The 15472-nt window shown below is 41.0% G+C and overlaps 1 protein-coding gene across 11 annotated transcripts in view; it reads left to right on the top strand.

The window, feature by feature from the left end:
* The window catches only part of TMEM245 (transmembrane protein 245), a 104813-nt gene that overhangs the window by 55828 nt on the left and 33513 nt on the right, over window positions 1-15472 (top strand). For all 11 annotated transcript variants that reach the window (NM_001438169.1, NM_001438166.1, NM_001438172.1 and 8 more), the window contains 4 exons: window positions 3668-3766; window positions 6798-6929; window positions 13428-13550; window positions 13692-13837. In NM_001438169.1, the coding sequence (NP_001425098.1) occupies window positions 3668-3766; window positions 6798-6929; window positions 13428-13550; window positions 13692-13837 (500 nt within the window). The remainder of the gene's footprint in view (window positions 1-3667; window positions 3767-6797; window positions 6930-13427; window positions 13551-13691; window positions 13838-15472) is intronic.

Raw genomic sequence — 15472 nt, 5'->3', positions numbered from 1 at the left:
ATTTTCATTTAATATTTGTTTTTTTTTCTTTTACTGTTTCTAAGAAGCCTGCAGTATGAATTATTTTGCCTGCTTTGCAGATGAGGAAACAAGACTCAGCAAGGCTGAGTCAGTTCCCAGTGGTCGTGTAGTAAATTGCAGAGCTTGGTTTGAAACTGAAGCTTAACTTCAAATCCTTTGTTTCTACTGTAGCATGCTCGCAGTGTGTGCCCAGAACTGGATTAAGTGCTTTTGATGTGGCACTTGAGATAAACCTTGAAGGAATGGCAGATCAAGGAAGAGTGGATTTTAAGAAGGGTATTTGTGTGAGCCAAGATGCAGAGACAGGAGTGTGCTTGAAGAGATGATTGAGATGCTGAGACAGGAGTGTGCTTGAGGAAATGATCTTGACTGAAGTGGAGGGAGCTTTGTGAAGGGGAAATGAATGATAGAGGAAAGGCAGCACAGTTAAGGATTAGATTCCACCATATGGATTTGGGATATTCTTTCCCTCCCTAGTTTTGCCTGTAGGAATAAAGGTAATTTGCACTTTTAGTATACTGAAATAATTAGGATTATGTAAGAATCGACAGGATTTGTTGCAGTAAGACTTGTGCCTAGAAAAATATATTAGTATGTGATTCCATATTGAAAATTCAAAAACAAAATCTAAAAAAATAATATAATGGAAGATACGCTGTATACACATATATGGAATCAGGCTGGCCGTGGTGGCTCACGCCTATAATCCAAGCACTTTGGGAGGCCAAGGCAGGCGGCGGATCATGGGGTCAAGAGTTCGAGACCAGCCTGACCAACATGGTGAAACCTGGTCTCTACTAAAAATACAAAAGTTAGCCAGGCGTGGTTGCGCACGCCTGTAATCCGAGCTACTCAGGAGGCTGAGGCAGGAGAATCACTTGAACTCGGGAGGCAGAGGTTGCAGTGAGCCGAGATCATGCCACTGCACTCTACTCTCAGAGACGGAGAAACTCCATCTCAAAAAAAAGAAAAAAAAATTAGATGAGCTTGTTTACCTCAAATTAGATGGCTCTCAAATGATGTTCTGACTATGCTTCATGCTTGGTTGCCTCTCATATGCAGAGGCATATCAGGCACCACCAACAGTACTTGTGTTTCAGTGATGTGTAGTTTTTTTTTTCTTTTTGTGGAGAGGGAGTCTTGCTCTGTTGCCCAGGCTGGAGTGCAGTGGCGTGATCTCAGCTCACTGCAACTTCCACCTCCTAGGCTCAAGTGATCCTACCACTTCAGCCTCCTGAGTAGCTGGAACTACAGGCATGCACCACCATGCCCTGCCAATTTTTCTGTTTTTATAGAGACGTGGTTTCACCATGTTGCCCAGGCTGGTCTCGAACTCCTGTGCTTACGCAATCCTTCCACCATGGCCTCCCAAAGTGCTATGATTACAAGGCATGAGCCACGATGCCTGGCCAAATGGCTTTATTATATTGAATATTTAGTTTTCAGTTTATGAATAAATCAAATATAAAGGAACAAATATGAACAGATACGTTTGCATTGAATATGTCTAGTAACTGGTTCACATATCTGTAAGGCCAGCATCAAATAGGCAAAGAGTAAGGAAATAGATGTTGTAAACTAACGTGGGAAAATGGTCACTCCTTTCATTAATAAAGAAGAAAATAATAAATAATGGCTACATTTCACACCTGTTAAATTCCCTAAAAATTTTCCAGTTAGTTCATAAGGCTTTGAGGAAATTGGGTCATTTATGTAATTTTAGAAAGCATTAATTGGTATATTTCTTATTATAGAAGTCAGTTTACCAATGCATAGCAAGAGCCATTAAAATGCTCATTTTCGGCTGGGTGTGGTGGCTCATGCCTGTAATCCCAGCACTTTGGGAGGCCGAGTCAGGAGGATCACTTGAGCCCAGACCAGCTTGGGCAACATAGTGAGACCTTGTCTCTACAAAAAATAAGAAAATTAGCTCTGTCTGGTGTCAGTGCGCCTGTGATCCCAGCTACTTGGCTGTCTTAGGTGGCAGGATCGCTTGAGTCTGGGAGGTCCAGGCTTCAGTGAGCCATGATCATGCCACTGCACTCCGGCCTGGGTGACAGAGTGAGACCCTGTCTCAAAAAAAACAAAACAAAAACTCATTTTATTTGGTTGCAGTACATTTATTTATGTCACAAGTAACCCTGCAATGAACATCCATATATATCCTTAAAAACTATGTAAAAGGATGTTCATTGCAGTGTTACTCATGACACTAAAAATTAGGATTCATGGGTGGGCGTGGTGGCTCATGCCTGTAATCCCAGCACTTGTGGAGGCTGAGGTGGGCAGATCACTTGAGGTTAGGAGTTCAAGACCAGCCTGGCCAACATGGTGAAACCCCATCTCTACTAAAAATACAAAAATTAACTGGGTGTGGGGGCGCACACCTGTAATCCCAGCTACTCAGGAGGCTGAGACAGGAGAATTGCTCGAACCTGGGAGGCAGAGGTTGCAATGAGAGTCGAGATCGCGCCACTGCACTTCAGCCTGGGTGACAGAGCAAGACTCTATCTCAAAAAAAAAGAAGGATTTATTGTATATCCTTAGAGTGGGTAATGATCAGCTAATACCAGAACGTAATGAATTAATATAAAAGTATTAAAGATGAAGGTTAGTGATGAAGGCTAAAGATTGAATGTTTATAATGAAGTAGAAAAAATTCTAAATTGTCTCTATGTAAATAGGCAGAAAGTTGCAGAGGAAATAGAAAAATGGAAACAATTGTATTAAGGAAGTGGGCCTACAAACTTCTAGAAATTCTTTGGGTTTTTGTTTTTTTTTCTGAGACCAGGTCTTACTCTGTTACTCAGGCTGGAGCATGTTGGCGTGATCACGGCTCACTGCAGCCTCAACCTCCTGGACTCAGGTGATCCTCTCATCTCAGTCTCCTGAGTAGCTGGGACTGCAGGCATGCGCCACCACACTTGGTAATTTTTTTGTATTTTTGTAAAGATGGGGTTTCGCCATGTTGCTCAGGCTGATCTCAAACTCCTGGGTTCAAGCGATCTGCCCACCTCAGCCTCTGAAAGTGTGAAAATTGTTTTTTATATTATAATATGGTTTTAATAATAACTAAGTGGGACAACATTTTATAATGATAGCCTTCCTCTAAGTTACGTTGTCTCAGTGTACTTGATTTCCACAAACCCGGGGCCAGTCTGATCAATTGTAAATGAGACCGGACATCTCTCAGCATGCAAATAGAGGAAGGATTCGTGTTTATAGCCAACATCCTAAAATTTTACTTAAAATTCTGTGGTAATTCTTAATAATAGAGATAAATGTAACATGAGACATATGTATAATGGAAGGTCACTGGGATTACAGGGGAAAGATTTTTCTCTGGACAGGTAAGATCAGATAAGTCAGCAATCATGGCTTCATTTGCACCATTCTCTGATAGCGTGAGGTAGCTCTCTTAGAGACCTAAGAATAGAGCAAAGAAAATAGAAGCAAAAACATGAGAAAGGAAATTTACTGGGAATACTCAGGAGTAGATTTAAGGAAAGAACGTAATATGGCTAGAGATAAATAGTCTGGAACATTTTTGTTTGCTTTGGAACAAATGTAAATACCCAGCATATATTAATTTTACTCTGTTGTTGCCTGAAATATTGTACCACGTCGTATCTGTGTTTTTTTCTAGCTCCATAAAATTCTAGGAGATAAGGTGAACAATACTGCTGTAATTGAAAAGCAAGTACTAGAACTTTGGGACAGACTGTATCACTCTTGGTTTGTAAAGGTAAGTTATTTTAGCTAAAGTTTCCTGTTGTAAACTAATAAAGTCCTTTTATTGACTCATCAACTAGATAGGATTATATTCACAGTGGGATTTCATTCATGGAAATTTCAAAACAGCAAAACCTTAAGCCTCAGGTCACTAAAAGTCAGTGTGAGTTGATGGTTAGTCTCCATGGCAGAACCTGCCTATCTCTCTGGTGCGTCAGTATTCCATCCTCAGTCTGTTGTCACGGACATCTCATCCCCTAGACTAGCTCTGTGCGGGAGAAGTGTAATGCAAGCCACATAAGGTAATGTTAAATTTTCTAATACTTATACTAAACGAATTTTACCTGTTTTAGTTTTTTAGTGATATTTTATTTAACCCAATATGCCCCAAATACTATTATTTTAATATATAATCATTAGAAAAAATTTAATAAGATATTTTATATCATTTTTTTTCCATATGTCTTTGAAATCTAGCATGCATTTTATACCAGCAGCACATCTCAGTTTTTGAGCTAGCCATATTTTAAGTGCTCAGTAGCCACATGTGGCTAGCTCCTACTGGCTACTGTTTTAGACAGTACAACTGTAGGCATTAATAACTTTTCTTTGAGAAAGTGAAACTGAATCTAAACGCTTAGAGATCTTTTATTTTTTATTATTATTTATTTATTTATTTTTTGAGACAGGGTCTCGCTCTGTCACCCAGACTGGAGTGCAGTGGTGTGATCTTGGCTTACTATAACATACTCCGTCTCTTGGGCTCGAGTGATCCTCCTGCCTCAGCCTCCTGAGTAGCTGGGATTACAGGTGCATGCCACCATGCCTGGTGAATTTTTTTGTATTTTTTGTAGAGACAGGGTTTTGCCATGTTGTCCAGACCATCCTATACACTGGATCTGGCAGGGCCTGTGGGCTAGCAGGAGCCGTGCTGTGTATAGAGTGGATAGAGTTGGTGGTGATGATTCTCAGAGTTCATGTAAGGAGAGCAAGTATATATGTAAGTCTCTTAATGTAGGGTGGAGGGGGAGGAGGGCTGATTTTAAATTTGAATTTGTTGCTTAGTGACTTGTTTGGGATTATGTACTCTTGCTTTGGGATGAGTTGAAGGAAGATTGTTAGTTTTTATAGATTTCAAAGACTTGGGAAAAAATATTCAGGGAATATCTAGGTGAGTATCATAGATTTGATCCCATCTGCTGAAAAACCAGATAATTAGAAAGGTATATCTATTTCTTTTGCTAACTCTGGGGCTTCTGCTTACAAATAGCTTTTATTACCCCTCACACCTCCTGAGCTTTATTTTATAGTAGAGGAAGGTCAGTGTTTCATAAGCATAGGTTTGTTAAGTGGTTAAGTACAATTGTCCCCCAGTATCATGGGTGATCGGTCCTAAGACACCCCTCTGGTACCAAAATCCAGGGATGCTCCAGTTCTTTGTACAAAATTGGCATATTTGTTGTCTGGGCCTGGTGGCTCATGTCTGTAATCCTGGCTATTTGGGAGGCTGAAGTGGGAGGATCACATGAGGCTGGGAGCTTCAGACCAGCCTGGGCAACATAGTGAGACCCCATCTCTACAAAAAATTAGCTGGGTGTGGTGGTGTGCGCCTGTAGTCCTAGCTACTCGGGGAGACTGAGGCGGGAGGATCACTGAAGCTCAGGAATTGGAGGCTGCAGTGAGCTATGACTGCACCATTGCACTCCAGTGCAGCCTGGTGACAGGGCAAGCAAGACGCTGTCTCTAAAAAAAGAAGACAACATTCCTACCATCATGCTTGTCTAATTTTTAAATTTTTATAAAGATAGGATCTCACTATGTTGCCTGGGTTGGTCTTGAACGGCTAGGCTCAAGTGATCCTCTCGCCTCAGCCTCCCAAAGTGGTAGGATTACAGATGAGAGCCATTTTACCTGGCCCTTATCTCTTTCAAATTTAGTTATTCTCATATCTCTGCCAATGTCTTCCAGATAGATAAATTCTATTTACTGCCTTACGTTTGCTTGTTATATTCTTCTGTCCTCATTTTCCTTACCTTGTATGGTAAATTAAAAAGAAAAATGAGGGCTGGGCGTGGTGGCTCACGCCTGTAATCCTAGCACTTTGGGAGGCTGAGGCGGGCGGATCACGAGATCAGGAGATCAAGACTATCCTGGCTAACACAGTGAAACCCCGTCTCTACTAAAAATACAAAAAAAAAATTAGCCAGGCGTTGTGGCAGGCGCCCGTAGTCACAGCTACTCGGGAGGCTGAGGCAGGAGAATGGCATGAACCTGGGAGGCGGAGTTTGCAGTGAGCCGAAATCGCACCACTGCACTCTAGCCTGGGTGATAGAGCAAGACCCCGTCCCAAAAAAAAAAAAATGAGGAAAGGAGGAAAAAGCAAAGATGGGAAATCAAGAGAAAGGTGGAGGGCCTAAAAACTAAAAAAAAAAAAAAAAAAAGAAAGTAAATGCTGTTTAGTGTGTTGTAGATACTGAGAAATAAGATGTCTTTGCAAATGTATTTAGGAGGGAAGCACTGGAGCGAGACTTAGACAAGGTACCTAGAATATAAACAAAAGAATTTTATATTTCAGGTCTTTAAATGGAGTTCGTAGCTGATTTCTTTTTTCTTTTTTAGACAGAGTCTTGCTCTGTCACCCAGGCTGGAGTGCCGTGGTACATTCTTGGCTCACTGCAACCTCCGCCTCCTGGATTCAAGCAATTCTCTTGCCTCAGCCTCCTGAGTAGCTGGGATTACAGGCACGTGCCACCACGCCTGGCTAATTTTTGTATTTTTAGTAGAGATGGGGTTTCACCATGTTGGTCAGGGTGGTCTCAAACTCCTGACCTTGTGATCCACCTGCCTCGGCCTCCCAAAGTGCTGGGATTACAGACATGAGCCACCGCACCCGGCCTTAGCTGATTTCTTAAATAATGCAAAGTTCTTTTCCTTGGAGTACTTACTGAAGTGATGAAGGGGACCTGAAGCAAAATGTGACATTTATACTTTCTGTTCTTTAGATTAAGATGGGAATTTCATGTCTGCACTGTTTTATTCCATAGAATGTAACACACTCTGGAAGGCACAAAGGACAGAAGTTGCATGTCAGTCGTCAGAATAGCTGGCTGGGAGACATTCTGGACTGGCAGGATATTGTTTCCTTTGTTCACGAGAACATTGAGACATTTCTTTCGGTAAGAAATAGCATTTATAGTTAAGCTGAAGTTCAAAATAAAAACAAACTGTAATTCCAAGTTTTCTTCATACACTTTGAGGCCTCATCTATCCTGTTTTTAACATCATGACATTTACATATTTGAGAACTCTAAATGCACTAGGATGATGTTCAAAAGCCATAGGCTTCAGGTGTCACTCCCTTGGTATTTCCCCTGTGGTTGTAGAGTAACTGAGAGATGACCAGGATGTCTCCAGCTGGACTACTGGAGAGGCACCTGCCTTTGTGTTGTGCGAAGACCCTTGACCAGATGGAAATATGGTTCCAGTTACATTGGAGGGATGGGATGTGTTGAATGCTTAGCTTGTCACCTTCCCACCTAACCTCCTACCATGCATCATCACCTCTGCAGTCTGCAGCATTCCTAAGTGCTAACTACTGCTCCTCCTCATTCCATACCATATTTTGTATGGTGTCTTGCATGTAGAATTTCACAGAGGGCAGTTTTCTTGTGCATAAACTTGTGACTTTCATCAAGTGAACAAAAATTGAGGTTTGCCGTGCTAAACTTTTTAAAATTAATTAATTTTTTTTTGAGACGGAGTTCATTCTGTTGCCTAGGCTGGAGTGCAGTAGTGTGATCTCAGTTTACTGCAATTTCCACCTCCCGGGTTCAAGCGATTCTCCTACCTCAGCCTCCTAAGTAGCTGGGATTACGGGCATGCCCCACCACACCCAGCTAATTTTTTTTTTTTTTTTTTTTTTTTTTGCATTTTTAGTAGATATGGGGTTTCTCCATGTTGGCCCAAGCTGGTCTTGAACTCCTGACCTCAAGTGATCTGCCTGCCTCGGCCTCCCAAAGTGCTGGGATTATAGGCATGAGCCATCACACCTGGCCTAAATTTAATTTTTATCAAAGTAATACATGACCATAACTGAAAAGGCAGCAACGCTAAAAGATTTTAATAAACAGCAGTGCCCTGCTGTATGCCTCCCAATTTCCCATCTTTTCTTTACAAACAACTGCCAATTCTTTTAGCTTTCCCTGGGTATTTACCTCTGAATTTCTAAAATAATGTTTATGCTACTCTCTTTGTTTTGCAGTTTTAGATGTTATCTTTTGGCTTCCTAATGTGGAAGATGAAGTGCTGTTAATCAGATATTGGGCCTTTAACATGGATTCCTTAATTTTGAAAGCCTCTTTTCTGTTTTCTGTCTCTTTGTTTTCTTTTTCTCCTGAGAAATAGCTTCAACTTGCCTTTGAAACAGTGATTGAGGCCGGGCGTGGTGGCTTATGCCTGTAATCCCAGCACTTTGGGAGGCCGAGGCGGGTGGATCACCTGAGGTTGGGAGTTTGAGATCAGCCTAACCAACATGGAGAAACCCCGTCTCTACTAAAAATACAAAATTAGCTGGGCATGGTGGCGCATGCCTGTAATCCCAGATACTCGGGAGGCTGAGGCAGGAGAATCGCTTGAATCTGGGAGGCGGAGGGTGCGGTGAGCTGAGATTGCGCCACTGAGCTCCAGCCTGGGTAACAAGAGCGAAACTCCATCTTAAAAAAAAAAAAAAGAAAAAAAGAAACCGTGATTGAAATTTTCATTTCTGCTATCATACTTGCAATATCCAATAGCTCTTTTTTCTGAACCATCCTTTTTTACTTATTTGAGAATATTACTAATAAAATATTTAAAATGACTTCTGCTCTCTCTTTGCTCTGAGTTTCTTTAAAGTTTGTTTTGCTTTCTCTTTTGTTACCTGTCTGGTGATCCTTGGCAGTGTGTTCCTTTTTAAGAGTGCAACACTAAAAGCAGCTGGAAGGTCCCTGCCAGGTCAGCCTGTAGAAAAGCCCATTAGCAGGTTCCACCCAGTATCCTGGACCTTCCAGTTGGCTCTTTAATGCCAGTGCATACACAAAATAGTGTATCATCTAATAATACCTTTGAATGTTTGCTTTCCCCAAAAATTCAGGTGTGTTAACTAAAAGTTATTGAATCCCTTTTTGTTTTGTTTTGTTTTGTGACTGTAGTCGTTGAACTTAAAAGTGTCTGTTATTGATGAATGAAGTGACAGTGTTGAATCATATTAAGATAGATGATAAAGAAACATGATTAAATTTTATAAATTCTTACGGAAAGAGAAGAGGCAGTTTTTGAAACTAAAATAACAGTTTTGCCATGTAATCCCTCAAAAAGAAAAGTACAATTTCTGTATCCCTAAACACATTTAAATATTGAGTAATGAACAGTTCAGGGAACAGATGATTAGTAGTTTTTGTATGAAATGTTTTGTGTCAAATATTGTGCTAGGTGCTTACTAATTTCCAATTTAATTCTCCCAGTGATTCTGCAAAAGTAGTATAGTTGCCTTCATTTTAATAACAAAAAAACAGGCTCACAGGTGTTAAATAGTTTGCACGGTAAATAACAGTTGATATTCAAAGTCAGTTCATCTTTCCTTGGCTCCAGAGGCCAGACTTTTTATATAATGTTGTATTATCTTTCAAACTGTATTTCATCCTCTAGAGAACTCAACATTTCTTAGTCTCATACCTTTATATTTTTATTTGCTTTGTCAGTTTTTTTTTGTTTTTTGGATATTGTTGTAAATAGGTGGCTTAGGGCCAGTCTCGTTCATGAAATCTTCCCAGTGTATTTCAGAATACATTGAGGTTTCTCTACATTCAGACTCCTTTTGCATTTATTGTTTTCACCCTTTTGATACCTGAACATATTTTACCTTCTTTTTCAATTTTTGACACTTTAGTGTTTGTACCCAATCTTCTGGACTAGATTGTAAGTTTTTGGAGGTAGAAGGAATCTCATATATCACTACCTTAGAATTTAGTATGGTGTTAGGTCCTCAATTAAACTAATTAAGAGAAGCACATTAGGCTGTAGTGCAGTAGTTTGACTGTGGCTTACTGCATCCTTGACCTCCTGGGCTCAAGCCATCCTTCTGCTTCATCCTCCTCCTTCTTCCTCCTGAGTAGCTGGGACTACAGGCATACACCACCACACCCAGCTGATTTTTAAATTTTTTGCAGAGATGGGGTCTTGCTATGTTGCACGGGCTGGTCTTGAGCTCCTGAGCTCAAGCTGTTCTTTCACCTCGGCCTCCCAAAGTGCTGGGATTACAGGCATGAGCCACCATGCCCAGCCAATAATTATTGTTGTATTTAGAAATACAGTGGCTGTGTTGAAATGGCGTTTTGAGGTCACGTGACTCATGTCCCTTCCTTTAAAGATAAGAAAGATTGGAACTAGAGAAGATAGCAGAGCTCATGTGGTCCATTGTCTCCAGGCTCCCTCCCAAGTCTCTGAGGCAGACAGAGGTGGCTCAGTTCTGCCAGGAGAGACATTTTTCCTTATTTAGACCTCTGCATTCCTGCAATGTCCTCTTCCTCCTTTGTTTTTCTAAACTGTTGCGTTTGAATCTCCTTCACCGGCTCCATAGAAGGTGGGCTGATGGCTCTTAGTAAGTACTGGGAAACGAAGTTAATAATCAAAAGGTTGTTTGGTGAGTGGTGGACTCAGAGTAAAGGGCTGCAGAGCCACTGGAGATGGTGAGGCCTTGTTGGTCAGTTCTTATCCACAGTAGAGACCACCGTTCATGACCACATTGCTTAGTTGGTTCAGTAAGTCTCTTGGGCTTTTTGTATGTTTCATAATGAACTCTTTGTGATGTTCTTCCAGTACTTACATTGCTATTGTTGATTAAACTGATACCAAACCTGGCTCATGTTTTCTACTTCTGAGTTAGGATCCTTTTTTTTCCCCCTCAGAGAGAGAGTCTCGCTTTGTCATCCAGTCTGGAGTACAGTGGCACGATCCCAGCTCACTGCAACCTCCACCTCCTGGGTTCAAGAAATTTTTGTGCCTCAGCCTCCTGAGTAGTTGGAATTACAGGCATGCACCACCACATTCAGCTAATTTTTTTGTATGTTAGTAGACATGGGATTTCACCATGTTGGCCAGGCTGGTCTCAAACTCCTGGCTTCAACTGATCCGCTCACCTTGGCCTCCCAAAGTGCTGAGATTACAGGTGTGAGCCACCGCACCCAGCCTGAGTTGGGATACATTTTGTCTCCATAAATGTGTTTTGTTTTCAGAGTTTCATGGGCCTTGCTATTGTGCCTGCCTTTACCCAGTTTCTCCTCTTTAAGCCTGACATATAAATTAAACCACTTTACTTTAAGGATTTAGTTAATATTCTAGAAATGTTTCTTCCTCTATTTTCTCCAGTTGATTCCCTTTCTTTTTTTCTTTCAAATAGGAAAGGTTACTTTTTTGTTGTTGGAGACTACCAATCTAAAATTAGTGTATTTAGTTAATTTCTTAAGAATTACCACAAGATATTTTCTCTCAGTGCAACCCAGAAACTATTTAAATTTTTTTTTTTAATAAAAATTCCAAAATGACTGAAGCTGCAAAAAGAATGCTTGTCAAATCACAAGTAAAGGCATTGTTGGCTTGTTTCTTGGAACTGATGGCATTGTTCATTTATTCTTTATCCCACGAGGTCAAACAGTCAATCTTGCACATTTTTGTAGGCATTGTGAAGCATTTTCAAGATTTTATGTAAGGAGTTTTTGTAAATGAAACCAGCCTGCCGGAGTTCTCTTATGAAACTGAGCTGAGGTTTGCAAGAAATGCCAAGGGCAACAAAATATGCCTTTATAAATGGTACATCTGAAGTAGGAAAGGAATGGAGAAGACTTTTCATAGAACAGATGGACATATGACAAAAACCAGAACTGCTGTTTTGGGAAGGGCACCAAAACAAAAATCAGATGTTGTGAGTTCTGCCCCACAACATTTAAGCTCTAAGCTCTAGTTCCACTTACTAGCTTTGTGCCTTTGGGCAAGTTTTCTAAAAATTTGTGAGCTTCAAATTATGTATGTATAAAATAGAGATAATATCATCTGCATTTCTTCGTTCACAGCATTGTTGGGAGGTCTATGGAAGCATTTTAGAAATGGTAATGGGAGGTGTTTTTCTGGTCATTTTGTTTTTGTATTTTTCATTAAGAGGAAGGATAGTCCACTTAGGAAGAATAGAACAGATAATATAATAAGGGGATTTGAGATAGTAAATGAAATGTGCAGGTATGCTATAAATATTGTACCTCTCCTTTATTAATATTTAACATCTATGAGAAACCTTCCTCATGATATCTGGTTCTAGTGAATGTGTAGGTGACAAATCAGCTGAACTCAGTAGACGTCAATATACTGGTCATTGCCTGTCTCAGGAAAGATTTTTGGCCTCAGAGCACTGCTCTTGTCCCTGTCTGTTGATTGCTTTTCTTGTGATTTAATGAAGTCATTGAGGTGATGCTTTTTATATTTGTAGATAGCTCTAAGTTGGAAATGGCAAGGGTGGGGGCTAGGCAGCCAGTAAAGCAAATACTGGAATTTCATGGCCTGCACTTAGGATCCTACAAGATAAATATAACCACAGGTTGTACTCTAGCATATTCCCCAGGAGGTAAAGTCATGGCCTGTGTCACATAATAATGTCTCTGTTAATGATGGGCCACAAAATGCAATCATGGTCCCATAAGATTATAATACTGTATTTTTACTGTACCTTTTAGATGTTTAGATATACAGATACCTATATTGTGGTTGCCTGTGGTATTCAGTACAGTAACACGCTACAAAGGTTTATAGTTTAGGAGTAGTAGGTTGTATCTTACAGCCTATATGTGTGCTAGGCTTTACCATTTAGGTTTGTATCAGTACACTCTATGACATTTGCAGGACGAAATTGCCTAATGACACATTTCTCAGAATATATCTCCATAATTAAGTGATGCATGACTATATTTTTTCTCTGCTTGCGATTTTTACATAATCTACAATGATGTGTGTGTGTGTGTGTGTGTGTGTGTGTGTGTGTGTGTGTGTGTTTTGAGACAGAGTTTTGCTCTTGCTGCCCAGGCTACAGTGCAATGGTAGGATCTCGGCTCACTGCAACCCCTGCCTCCTGGGTTCAAGCGATTCTCCTCCCTCAGCCTCCCAGGTAGCTGGGATTACAAGCATGTACCACACCACACTTGGCTAATTTTGTATTTTTAGTAGAGACAGGGTTTTACTATGTTGGTCAGGCTGGTCTGGAACTCCTGACCTCAAGTGATCCACCCGCCTCAGCCTCCCAAAGTGCTGGGATTACAGGCATGAGCCACCATGCCCCACCAATTATATATAAAATGTTTTAATCCTGTTTTTTAAATTTAGCATTTCATTGTAAAATATTTTCCCATGTTATAACAGTGATGTTTTTAATTGCTGTCTATATTATTTGGTGTGGATTTACTATTTTCTTTACTATTGAGTATACAACTGTTTTTGGTTGATTTTTCTTTTTTTTTTTAATTTTCATTTGAAATAATCCTCAGTTCTTAGCTTTTCAGTTCATGGTACTAAAACACTGTATTAAAAGCACACTAGATGGCTCTAGAAACTTTTTTCATGAGGATTGGTTCTGATATCCAGCTTTCCTTCCTCGTCAGATCTTGGAGTCTCTGTGGATCGTTATGAGCCGGAATGTGAGCCTGCTGTTCACCACTGTCACTACACTCTTGACCATCCTCTTCTACAGCGGGACAGCCCTTCTCAATTTTGTACTCTCTCTGGTACGTCCACATAGATAAGTACACGTCATATTTCCTTCCCTGTTAAAGCATATTTCTGGTTTCATTTGCAATTGCAGATGTCTGTCTTCCTATAGTTTCCAAATACGATTTTTTTAGGAGATGTTGTCCTTTGTTTTGCAGATAATTTTCCTGACCACACTATTTTATCTATTAAGTTCCAGTGATGAGTACTACAAGCCAGTGAAGTGGGTGATAAGCCTGACTCCACTATCTCAGCCAGGTCCTTCTTCTAATATTATTGGCCAGTCTGTGGAAGAAGCTATCAGGTAGGGATAAGGTTTATGCTATTCTTATTTCTCCCAGAACTTTTTTTCCATGATAAGCCTGTTTTTTGTCATGAGCATCCTGATAACATTCAGTGCTAAACTCGTGATGGACTCTGGTATTTTCAAGGTTTTCATCTCATTTTGACAGGATAAATATGAACAGTGCAGTTGTTAATAAGAAAAAGATTCAGGCCAGGTACAGTGGCTCATGTCTGTAATTCCAGCAATTGAGATTGCTTGAGGCAGGAAGATTGCTTGAGGCCAGGAGTCTGAGATCAGCCTGGACAACATAGTGAGACCCTGTCTCTATAAAAAAATTTTAAAAATTATCTGGGCTTGGTGGCATGCACCTGTAACCCCAGCTACTTGGGAGGCTGAGGCCAGAGGCTTGCTTGAGGAACTTGAGGTTACAGTGAGCTGTGATCACGCCACTGCGCTCCAGCCTTGGTGACAGAGCAAGATCCTGTTTCTTTGTTTTTTGGAGATGGATTGCAGTGGTGTGATCTTGGCTTAGTGCAGTCTCTGCCTCCAGAGTTCAAGTGATTCTCCTGCTTTAGCCTCCCAAGTAGCTGGGATTACAGGCGTGCACCACCACACCCAGTTAATTTTTGTATTTTTAGTAGAGATGAGGTTTTACCATGTTGGCCAGGCTGGTCTCAAACTCCTAACCTTAAGTGATCTGCCTGCCTCGGCCTCCCAAAATACTGGGATTACAGGCATAAGCCACCATGCCCGGCCAAGACCCTGTTTCTTAAAAAACAAAAAAACAGACTGGGCGCGGTGGCTCACACCTGTAATCCCAGCACTTTGGGAGGCTGAGGCAGGAGGATTGTTCGAGCTCAGGAATTTGACACAACCTGGGCAGCATAGCGAGACCTTGTCTCTACTAAAAATAAAAAAGATTAGCCAGGCATGGTGGTGTGAAAGCTGTAGTCCCAGCTACTTAAGAGGTTGAGGTGGTAGGATTGCTTGAGCCTGGAAGATGGAGGCTGCAGTGAACTTGGTCACACCACTGCACTGCAGCCTAGGCAACAGAGTAAGACCCTATCTCAAAAACAAAACAAAATTTAACAATTCAAAGCAGTTTTGATAACCTTCTCTCAAACCTGAGATTTACAAAGATGTAATGGTCTATCTCCATCAGCTTTCCATCAGCAGGATCTTAGACTAGCTGTTAGCATCATGTCACTTGCTTAAGAGAACCCCCGCTTCCACCACCCCCATCTCCAACTTCTTTCAGAACCCTCTGCTGTCAGGAGTTTTAGCTTTGCTCCAGAAGGAGAGTAGGTGGACTTCCTGTTTCTCCTCTGTCCTACAGCCAAGCTGTGCCCTCTGCAAGGAGTAGGTTGGATACTGGAAATGCAGAATCGTTGTTTATCTCTTAAGTTATAGGCTCTGTATGCACTGGAGGTTCTGGCCAGAAACTTTTTCGTTATGACTTCTGGCATCCATGTATTTACAGGCTTTGTTTCTGAATGAACTTCTTCAACTTTTCCTCTGTATAAGCTCTTTCCAGGTCGTTGGCTCTTGGCTTCCTTTATCTTTTCCTCTTCATCATTTCTGGTAGGGAGGACCCTTTTGCAGAGCAGGCCTGTCTCAGCCCCTCCTGTAATCCCTGTCATCATTCCTCATTAA

This window comes from Homo sapiens, chromosome 9 (genome assembly GCF_000001405.40).
Source record: "Homo sapiens chromosome 9, GRCh38.p14 Primary Assembly".
Lineage (NCBI taxonomy): Eukaryota > Metazoa > Chordata > Mammalia > Primates > Hominidae > Homo > Homo sapiens.
The sequence above is the reverse complement of the archived record's forward strand: the minus strand, read 5'-3'. Positions and strand labels throughout refer to the sequence as shown.